Here is an 11,204-nt window from a genome sequence, read left to right on the forward strand (position 1 = left end):
TCTGCTCTTTCTTTTTTCTTCTTTTTAAAAAGAAAACCCAAATCTTCGGGTAACATCTGAACTCCAGCCACAGGTGCCAGGCTACAAAGCTCCTTCCAGAAAGGCTGAATGGCTAGACCCTCCCCAGCCCCTGCTACCCTGGGCCAACGGCTGCACTTCTGTCTGGAAAGTTTGTGGCTACGTGACCCAGCAAAGCCACACTGGAGGCTGATGGCTCCTGACATGGGAGCTTGGTAGGCTGTTCTCTTCGAGGCCCTTGTGGGTTCCATATGCCGAGTCTCCCCGGTTCCCACCTAGTCTGTAGCAGTGTCCACTGGAAATGCTTGCATAAATGCATTTAGAATAAATGGTCCTTAGGGGCCCAGAAAGCACAAATCTTCTATGACTCCCAAATTGGCCTCTTAGTGGTGATGCTTGGCAGTGTAAGTTCGGGGGACATGCCAGGGACTGTGCTAGGTGCTATACATACACAACCTCATTACCTTTACCAGGTGGTATTGTTAAACCCATTTTACAGATGATGAAACTAATGCTCAGAGGTGAGGATCCTGCCTAAGGTCGCACAGCCAGGAAGTGGCCAAGCTGTAATTCAAACCAGGGCAGGCCTCTCTGACTTCCAAGCCTAGGAGAGCTGGTTCTCCTAGGCATCCTGCCTCTTCAGCATGCCATCAACCCAGGAGGTCCAGCCAAAGCTAGCGCCAGGCTAGTCACCTCCTGCATTAGCTCAGCGCCTGAGGCAGCTGCTACTCCGTGTCTCTCACAGCGTCTGTCTCCCGAGTCCTCAGTTGCCAATGGATGTGGCAGCCCACCCCGCAATCTGCACAGATCCCCACACCAGTGAGACAACACAGAGTCCACTGTAGCTGTCTCCAATACTTGAATTTTTCCAAGGGGAATGATCCTTCCCTGAATCATGGCTTCCAAGATTCCCTGCCCGCCTTGGATCCCAAGCCTCGAAGGGGAATTCTGAGAGCTACCTGCTGCTGACTTTGGCTTAAGGGGAGGCTGTTTGGTAGAAAACAAAGAGAGACAGTGGAGAGAGGCAAGCTGGGCTCAAAGGCAGGACTTATCATCAGGCCTGTCATCATCCCTGTGGTGTTGGCTACAAATTAGGGAGATGGCATCTGCCTGCTCTGGGCTGGACAAATGAGACAATAATTACACAAGTGCCTAGCACAGTCCTAGGCACCATAAAAGGTGCTCAATGAATATTAATTCTCTTCTCCTCTGTGTCTCTGCCAGACCTAACATGGCACTGGAGATTCCACAGACAGTTCAGCTGCTACTGATTCATTTTTTTCTTGACTGAATTTTTTTTCTTCCCGCAGCATTTTATATAGGTTGAGCATCCCTAATCTGAAAATCCGAGATCTGAAACACCCCAAAATCCAAGACTTTTTGAGCCCCAACATGATGCTAAAGGAAATGCTCACTGGAGTATTCTGGATTTTGGATTAGGGGCACACAACCAGGAAGTATCACGCAAATATTCTAAAATCCGAAACAAACTGAAAGCTGAAACTATTCTGGTCCCAAGCAGAAGACGGAGGGTCCAGAGAGCTTGGAATACTGGCAAGACCACAGGTTCTAGAGTCCAGATGACCTTATTTGCAGTTGAGGAACCTGGGTTAAGTTACCAAGCATCAGTTTTCTCATTGCTAAACTGGTGACAATGCCTACTTCACTGAGCGACTGTGAGGCGCAGCTGGGATGAGGTACCTAAGAATGATTTGCTGACTATAAAATCCTAGGCAAGTGATGGTTATTAATAAACTGGGCCATTCCTTAGAAGCTGTAATATGCAAAAACCTGTTAAGAATAAGAACCGTTGGCCGGGTGCGGTGGCTCACGTCTGTAATCCCAGCACTTTGGGAGGCTGAGGCGGGCGGATCACAAGGTCAGGAGATCGAGACCATTCTGGCTAACACAGTGAAACCCCGTCTCTATTAAAAATAGAAAAAAATTAGCCGTGCATGGTGGCGGGCACCTGTTGTCCCAGCTACTCAGGAGGCTGAGGCAGGAAAATGGTGTGAATCCAGGAGGCGGAGCCTGCAGTGAGCTGAGATTGCACCACTGCACTCCAGCCTGAATGACAGAGTAAGACTCCATCTCAAAACAAACAAACAAACAAAAAAAAACTCTTACTGTGTGTGTTCTGCAAATGACAAATGTCATCCACTTTCCTTCTCACAAAACCCCTCTAGGAATGAGGGCACAGCCCCGGAGGTGAAATCAGACTCAGAGAGCTTCAGTGCTTGCCAGAGTGACATGACTTCAGCATTCAAGCCTAGCTCTGTCGGCCCCCCAAATCTGTACTGAAACTCTCACTAGTCACACAAGGTTCAGCCTAGAAGGGGCCTCCTGTCCCCCAAAGCAGTTTCTTTTTGCTGCTTGTGTCTTCTTTCCAGTGACAGTGAGCAGACATATTCTAGCTCCTTGCCAGCTGTGTCGATGGGGGGTTTGGGCCAACCACAGTTTGATGGAGATACGGGATGGATCCACGGTCACGTGTGGCTGGGAGTGTGGACTCGCGACGGTCACAGGGGAAGGCATCTAAGTCCTCCCAGCCTCCCATCTAGCCCTCTAATTCCCACCCACAGCGGGGAAGGGAAGGGAAGGAAAACTGTGCCACAGAATGGCCAACACCCACCCAGAGAGCAGCTACCCAGTGGATGCTGGGTGCATCTCCCCAGGTGAACAGACACAGTTCACCTGGTCACCTGCAGGCCCCGGCCTCTTTGCCTTCACAAGATGGATTTGGACACGTGTGTTGCAGAGGGCGGGAGGACTAGGACACTGGGTTGTGGGGTACTCTTTGGTTGGCCACAGAGTGGTGGCCACACTGAATGGTAGATGGAGAAACTTTTCCCTTGGTAAACAGCCCCCATCGAAAGGTCCTGGATGGTTTCCCACTTTCAAAGCACCTGCTAAAGTTCGCATGCCTCAGCATGGCCGGAGTCTGACCTACCAAGGAAAACGACTCCACTGATGCTTAACACGGGACCCAGACCCCATATTTTTCCATGGACGGATCTCTCTCGCCCTCCCACCCCATTCCCAGGTGGTGGTGGGTTTATCACATTTTGTCCTGCTTCTCCATCCTTACTTGGTTTTTTTTTTTTTTTCTTTTAAGAGACAGGGTCTTGCTCTGTCACCCAGGCTGGAGTGCAGTGGTGCAATCATAGCTCACTGTAGCCTCAGCCTCCTGGGCTCAAGTGATCCTCCCATCTTAGCCTCCTGAGTAGCTAGGACTACAGGCATGCACCACCACGCCCCTTACTTGGCACTTAACATGGGAAAGTGGATCTCCAAGGAAGGCCTGGCAGGGCAGCGGTACCTGTATCCATATGAGCTGGCTCCATACTCCCTGGACATAGCCTCCACCCCTGGGAAGGTACAAATGCATCTCCAGACCAAGATCTGGCGGGAACGAGACCCTTGCCCCCGGACTTCTGCTTCGTTTGTGAGGAACAGGCGTCTGGAGGAAGGCTTCCAACCCATTGCTCACCCTAGGAGACTTGCTCAAATAATGCACACGCAGCACACGCAGCACACAGTGGCCCCCTTGCTACCTATGGCTCTGATCTGCAAGTCACCAAACTTATTCACGAAAAAGCAAGAGAAGCCCAGAGAATGCAAGCTCAAGTTCATGCCACACAGAGAGGGAAGCTGAAAAACCCAATTCCCAGTTTTCTTTTGCCAGGCAGGAGGGTCCAAACTCTGGAGGTTTAGTCAGGCTGAGGGAGAATGGCTCAGGCAGTGTTAGGTGGGGAGGGCAGAACCACCAGCTACTCACGGGCCTCGAGCGCTGTATCTTGGGAGGCGGTCGGGTGGGACGCAGTCTCTGCAGCTGCATTAAAGTGGAAACTTACAACATCAGGACACACTGAGAAGGCTCAATGCATTTCCACACACGGCCTGGAGGAAGGCACCCAGTCACCTAAGCCAGAGCCAGAGGGCCAACCTCGACGCCTCCTGCCTCGCCCCCACTGTCCACCTTTTGAGGCCGTCTCCTCTGCTCATTCTTTCCTTCTAACCTTGTCTCCAGCCTGGGTTACTGCAATCATCTCCCAACAGGGCTCCCAGCTCCGCCCTCCACCATGCTCCACACAGGCTGGGGGCCCTTCCCAGGTGCAATAGGGCGAGCCCACCCCCTCTCCAGACCTCTCATGCCCCCTCCTGTCCTTGGGCGCCTGCTCAAGGCTAGAGGCTGGCACTGCATGTCCCCCAAGACCGGGACTCCACTGTGCCCCACACAGACCTTTCTCAACCTTCACCCATGCCTGCCCTGGGCAGATCCTTTAAGTAGCACTGGGCTCTCATGCCTTGTTTGCCACCCACCCTCCGGGTGGAATGGGCTGCTCCGGCTGGACTGGCCTGCCAAACGTGTGCCTGTCCTTCAAGAGCTCTGTCGGCTCGGATGCTGCCTCGTGCCTCCTGCTATGTGGGACTCAGCGTGGGATCCCTCACCCCTGCCCCCACGGGACCTCTTACAGGTCTATCTCCAAGGGGGTTCATCCCTATGCCTGCAGGCTCTGTGAGACCTGGGGAAAAAATCTGCTCAACAAGCGTCTGATGAACAAATAAAATTTGTCCAAAATGATTGGCTTTTGAAATCAGGATTTGAATCAAAACCAGTAGAGCACAGACTTCTCAGCTCTCCCCTCAAACCCTTTATCTTGAACGCCCAGCAGTGTCCTTTCAACAGCCTGCCTGTCTTGATGCTCTCGCAGGCATGGGAGACAGGGAGGCTGAGTAAGGAAAGTAAAAATTCACGCGAGACCCAGGCCGCGGACCCACAGCAATCCCCGGGAGGCTTCCGGTTGTTTCCTGCCCATTCCGTCACTCAGGTCACAAAGATACATCTAACTGGACCAAATCCAGACTTGCCCCAGCCAAAAGGGGAGCCAATGTCCCATGTGTCTGGTCCACGTTAAGATGTGCTCTAAATCCCAGCACTTTGGGAGGCCAAGGTGGGCGGACCACCTGAGGTCAGGAGTTCGAGACCAGCCTGGCCAACATGGTGAAACCCCCATCTATACAAAAATACAAAAATTAGCCGGGCATGATGGCACATGCCTGTAATCCCACGTACTCGGGAGGCTAGGACAGAAGAATTGCTTGAACCCGGAAGGCGGAGGTTGCAGTGAGCCAAGATCGTGCCATTGCAATCCAGCCTGGGCGACAGAGTGAGACTGTCTCAAAACAAAACCAAAAAACACGTGCTATAAGTGCAAAACACTGGACTTCAGAGACTCGGCACGAGGAAAGAATGTCAGACGCCTCAGTAATAATTTTTAGATTGATTACATGTTGAAATAATATTTTGGATATATTGGGTTCATTATATTAAAATCAATTTCACCTGTTTATGTTTCACATTCAGAATTCCACATGTGACTCCCGTATGAAGCTCCCATTATGTTTTTCTTGGACAGTGCTGATATAGGGCTCTACTGAGTGGGAGTGACACTTCAGATCTCAAATCTGCCTTAGAATTTGTTTTCTGAACCTGCCCCACTACTCCTGGAGGGCAGGGCCTGTGTCCCAGTTGTCCCTGGGTCCCTGGTGCTCTGCATGGAACCTGTCGGGGCAGCCTGAGGGGAAAGCGGGTCCAGGGACTTGGTGGAGGGTTCCCTGGCGGCACATGGAGAACACGATGGGATAGAATGACACCGTGGCTTCCCAGATCCTATGCCATTAGCTGGGCGTGAGGGCTGACCCATGCTTGGTGACCCTTCAGCTGACAGCTACCCGGGAGTTGGGGGTGCTGCCTAGGGATGGGCAAGGCCACCATGTTTTTTCCCCTTCCTGGCTTACAGGAAGTGTGTGGGGGAAAGGGGAACAGCCCCCCCACCCCTCAATTCACACCATTCATCAAGAGGAAGAGGTGATCAGGGAGAGGGGAGCCCACCCCCTCCACCGGTGCACAGGCTGCTACCCTGTCTAGACACCCAGCTCTCCTACACCACTCCCCACAATACTGCTTCTCTTATGCTTGGCCTTTCTACTTCGGGGGAACCATCTTCTCCAGCCCCACTGTCTTCACTGCTTGTCACCTCTGGCTTGGGCTATTTCCATTCCTGCTGGGTGGCAGTGCACCAGAGCGCTCGGGAGGCAGCCTCTAGGGGTCAGACAGTTTTGGAGAGAACCCCAGTTCTCCCATTTACTCCCTGGGTTACTCCAGGCCCACGATTTGACCATTCCAAGCCTTACTGTCCTCATCTGTGAAGTACAGGTAACAGCACTGCCTACCCGAGTGTCCTGTTAGGAAGATTCAACGAGATGATGGACGTCAGGTTCTTTGCACAGTGCCACCAACAGACATTAGCAACCATTACCATCAGCAGGTTTCCCTGCCTCCAGCCTCTCCCCCTCCCAGTCCATCGCCTACATTTGTTTCCAGAGAGGACTTAAAAAAATGTCCACCCAGTCTTGGCACTTGGCAGATGAAATCATCTCAGTGGAAGGCCGGCATCTCACAGGGTGTCTGCTGAGAAACACCATCCTGGGAGACGCATTGTGTGAAGGGAAAAAAGGAGGTTCCCCAGCCAGGCAAATCTGAGAAATGCTGTCTTCTGTCTTGCTCCTTTTGGGGATTCACAACGCCTGTTAGCATAGCAAAGGCTGGTGAGTCTTGCAAGAAAAAAACCCACCCAAACCAGGCAAAAACCTATTAACTCTTTTTTAAAAAGTCCTATTTCCCAAGTTTATTTGAACATAGACTTGCTTTCCCTATACCACCCATGAATATCCCCTGGAAAATGCTGTCTGAAGTGTTCAAAGCCCTCCAGATTCAGGGCCCCGCCATCCACCTCCGCAATCTCATCTCTGGTAAAACCCCGCCTCACATCCACAGCACACCGGCTGTCGTTATCAGCTCACTCACTTCTCTGTTTACCATAGGGTCTAGTAGAGTACTTGATACCTAATAGGTGCTCAGCAAATTACTTTTGGCTTAAACTTCCTGGCACATGTAAAAACACACCAAATGTCAATTCTCCAGATTCTTCAATTAACTCATTTTCTTTTGCTTGTCCTCGGGAAGTGCTGGCTGTTTTGCAACTGAATTGATAAATGGTGGGAAGAAAGCAGCCTCTTGACCACACCCATTCTAAAAGTTAGCAGAGTGAGCCAGCGGGATATAAAGATGCCAAGAAAGAGTAACGTGGTACAGATGTCCTGGCGCACCCAGTCAGATAAAACCCAACAACGGCAACCAAGAACAGGAAGCCACATTGCCCCTTCTGACACTCGGGGAGTTTTCCCTGCGGGTTGTCGGCACGAGGGGATCCTGTCACCAGAGGAAACACACAGGGACGGGGGCTGCACTCACCGACCCTGGGCTTGTTATGATGCTGGAGCATATGATGGGGACACCTCCTGTGGGGTGGCCGCCAGGAAGAGAAAGGTGAACTCCCAGGGGGTGCGCATTGAAGACCCTCCACCCTGGGGCTGGGGAGAGGAAGAAGGGGAGGGCTGCACTAATTATCAGGATGCCCTGCCAGGAGTGTGCAGGCCCTGGGGACCAGAGCTGAGGCTGGGGACAGGTGAGCAGCTGGATTGTCACCAGCGGATTAGACAGTAATCCCGTGGGAAGCAGTCTCAGATTTCGGACACTAGAACATCTGATTGTGTGCAGGGCCCTCCTGCTCCCACCGCAGGGTCTCCAGGCCTAGCTGGTTTGCTGAGTGACTTTGGCAAGCAAGTGACTTCCCTGGGCCTCTGTGTCCTCATCTGTGAGGCCAGTCACGAGGGCCCTGCTGCAGGGATGCGGGGCATCTGATGGCACTTCACGCAGGGCCAGGGGCACAGTGGACACGCTGCTGGGGAGGCCTCTGCTTCCTAGACAGGGCGTGGTGGGGCCATCGGCCATGGTGGTTGCAGTTTCCCAAATAAGCTGGGGTGTCCCCAGCTGGGGACACAGATGGGGAAGAGTAGTCTGGAGACCATTAAACACTGTAGGAGGTGAGTAGTAGTGATTTGGGTGGGAAGAGGGGGTAAGGGGATGAGCTAGGAAAGGATCAACTCAGAAAAGCATGCTCTCTTCCAGAGAGTGGCCCCGGTGCTCTAGAAGCTGAAGCCAGCACTAGCTGAATGTAGGGACTACAACAGTGTGGTTGGTGTGAGGCCCGAGAGGACGGCAGAGCTGGCCAGGACTCAGTGAAAGTTATTCTGAACCTGGAGTGGTTCCTCTCCCATCTGACTCAGCTCTGGTTGTCTGCATCCCCAGCCCACAGCCCAGGGCTGGGCCCCTGAGCCTGCTCCTCTTTCACGCTGGTGCTCCTGCCCTTGCTAAGTGTCCTAGTGGCCATGGAAAAGGGAACAGATTGGAGGGAGGTAAAGCGAGCTGCTCAACACCCCCAGCTGGTAATGGGCAGAGCTGGGAGTGTTGGTTGTCATCGGGAAGGCCTCTTGACCGCTGACCGCTTGAGTGCTCTTTCCACCGCTGAAGGAAAGGAAGGTAAAACTGGAAGAGCTTTAAAGTAGATGCAGCAGAGAATCGAAGCAGTCTGGGCATCTTTGCATTGAGGTCATGTTATATGTGATCCTCTGTCCCCTGGCCGGGTTGAAATGTGGCTACACAGACTGCTGCTTCTTAAGTCAGTTCAAAAAGACTGGGCCTTTGGCGATCTTTTGCTAAGGAGAGTTCAATTCGACAGTTCCTCCAGCACTTCCCGAGCTGGGCCAGGGCAGGAGGGGAGAGAGGGCCGGCGAAGCGGGGAGAAGGCCGGAGTTTTCTTCGATGGTCAACGCAAAGTGCCTGCTTTCCTGAAAAACACATCTGGAGGGGAAGCAGATGGACTGTCACAGAGTGGAAGGATTCCTCCTGTGTGTCTTTATGGAACAACTAAGTATTTGGGGGCCAGGACCAGGGGGATTCAGAGAATAAGACACAGTCCTTGTCCTTGAGGACTGCAGAGTCTGGTGGGATTTGACCTACACCATGGGAAAATAACTTCTTAAAGTGAAAGAAATATTGGTGGGGTAAACCCCAAGAAATAGACTTCGGGTTAGAAACCCATGGGTTCACGAGTTGGTTCTGTCATTTTCTAGTTGACTTCAGTATTGGTTCTGCCACTTAGGCGAGTTATTTAATCTCTCTTAAGTCTCAGTGAACTCTTCTGTAAAATGGCAAAACTCCCAGGTTACAAGCATCGGTGTGAGGATGAGAGTACAGTTACAGCCGCACGAGGTTCTGGTTTGATATCCTGAAGATGAAATGGGACCACTCCATCTTCCATCTCCCCATGGTACCCACAGGTCTTTCCAGAAAAGTCCTATGGACGTGAGGACCCTGGTTTTCCAAAGCTGTGTGCTATCAGCAAGGTTCTGTTGAAGGACACTGGATTTTAATAATAATCTCTTCTATTTATATGATGTGTTTTCCTTTCAAAGCATTTTAACTTCTGTTCTTTCTTTTGAACCTCACAGTCCCTGGTGAGGCAAGTTAGAGAAGGATTATTTCCCTGTTACAGAGACAGGAAACAGGAGGCCCAGAGAGGTTAAGGGACTAGTATGAGGTCACACAGCTAGTAGCGAAAACTAAAACAAGCAGGTATTCTTAGCCCATTGTGCTATCCTTGTCAACTAAAATTTCCAAAGTCACCTGGAATCCTTTCTGACACGGTTCTTCTAATCCTTGTCCCTTCTGAAGTTAGAATCTGTTGTTAGAGATCTGTGCCTCAGAGAAAAGGCTGATGAGAGAGTAACTGTCACCTTCTCCTTCTTTCCTTATTTGAGCATCTTTTTGTGGTGCTTTCCAAAGGAGGCACCTGATTCATTTGTCCATTCATTCAACAAACAGTGCGTGGCATCCCAGGCACAGGGGCACATGTCTCACCAAGACTCTGGTAGAGGGCGCTGTCATGCATGGGGTACACAGGAAGGTCTCTGCCATAGATTGGGGGGGGGGCAGTGGTAGGGAGTGCAGGGACAGGGGACCCACAGTGGTCCAATCAGACAAGAGTGAGGCTGAATATGAGGACAGGGCAGGCCAGGACCTGGGAGGGGCTGGGGGAGGTCAGATAAAAAGAGGGCCTTGAATGTCAGGCTGAGAATTTGCGGATTTTCTTCTGAGCTCAGTGGGAGGGATATAATCAGAGACACAATAAGAGGAACCTTGACGTCCTTGGTATAGAAAATGCATTGGAGGAGGATGGGGTATGCTCCTAGGAACAGACACTCCCCTCCAATCACAGGAGCCTGCCCAGGCCTCCATATTGCCAACCCACCGGCCCTGGCCACACCACTGCTGGGAGATGTGAACACAAGAGAGGGTAAGACCGAAGGCATGATTGACACAGAAGTCCCTGAGAAGAGGGGACCTCTTTGGCCTTTGTTGGTCTCTGCCTGGCCCTCGGCATCTCTATCTGTCAGCTGTGTGGGCCAGGTGAGTATGCTCATTGGATATGAAACCGGCATTTATGAGGACAGCATCTGATTTGCAGTTCATTTGTTGATGCAGCAAAACACATTGTTTCCAAAAGGTCAGGAGGGGAAGGCGCGTTGGAATAGCAACTTAATTACCTGGGTGGCATGGATGAGTGGGCACCCCGCACAGGGCTGCAGGGTGGAAAACGCTCGACGGCCAGGTGGTGACTTGGGGGCAGAGAGCGCAGTGTGTAGGGGAGGAGAGGTGGTGTCCCTGCTGCCTGGGAGCCAGCCTGCCTGTGCTGTGGGCAGAGCCAAGGCACTTTCTGCTGCCGGTGCTTCCAGGGCCTAAGCAGCCGCTGCACACTCACCAGCGCAAGGCTCCTCTGCAGGGAACGAGGGCTGCTACCCATTTCACAGATGAGGGCAAGCAAGGACTTGCCCAGGGTTGCCCAGAGCAAGTGCGTAACAGGCCCTGAGAAGAGGGCCAGTGAGCTCATCCTGAGTTAATTATGGGCTGGGGCAGGGGTGCTATGATGTTTGTGCATGGGGCAGAGGGCAGACAGCTGTTTAGGGATGGACCCGTGGATTCACTCAGTCCCCAGTGAAGGGGACATCTGGGACCATCCCTTCAATATCCTTGTGCCGTCAGAATGAGCATCTGCACTTCACTGCTGGGACAGCAGGGCCACACAGAAGGTGAAATGTCAAAGTTGGCAGGAGACAGGCCAGACCCCAACCGAGGAGCGGTATAGGTGAGAAAATAGAATAGTACAGATGCTGGAGGCCACAGGGACCAACCAGGTTCACTAAAGGCTGAGGACTGTGCA

General features: G+C 52.2%; 1 protein-coding gene across 40 annotated transcripts in view; it reads right to left on the reverse strand.

Annotated features, from left to right (window-relative positions):
* The window catches only part of DENND1A (DENN domain containing 1A), a 550,469-nt gene that overhangs the window by 28,322 nt on the left and 510,943 nt on the right, over positions 1-11,204 (reverse strand). For 16 of the 40 annotated variants that reach the window (XR_007061334.1, XR_007061335.1, XM_024447622.2 and 13 more), the window contains one exon: positions 3,797-3,850. The exons of 23 other annotated variants lie outside the window; for them this stretch is intronic. Coding sequence is in view for 15 of the 17 variants with exons in the window: in XM_024447622.2 (XP_024303390.1) it covers positions 3,797-3,850 (54 nt within the window). In the remaining 2 variants the exon portion in view is untranslated. Of the gene's footprint in view, positions 1-3,796; positions 3,851-5,291; positions 6,610-11,204 lie in introns of those variants that run through there. One more of the 40 variants, NM_001352968.2, reaches the window with a different exon arrangement.

Source organism: Homo sapiens, chromosome 9, assembly GCF_000001405.40.
Source record: "Homo sapiens chromosome 9, GRCh38.p14 Primary Assembly".
In the NCBI taxonomy this organism is placed as follows: domain Eukaryota; kingdom Metazoa; phylum Chordata; class Mammalia; order Primates; family Hominidae; genus Homo; species Homo sapiens.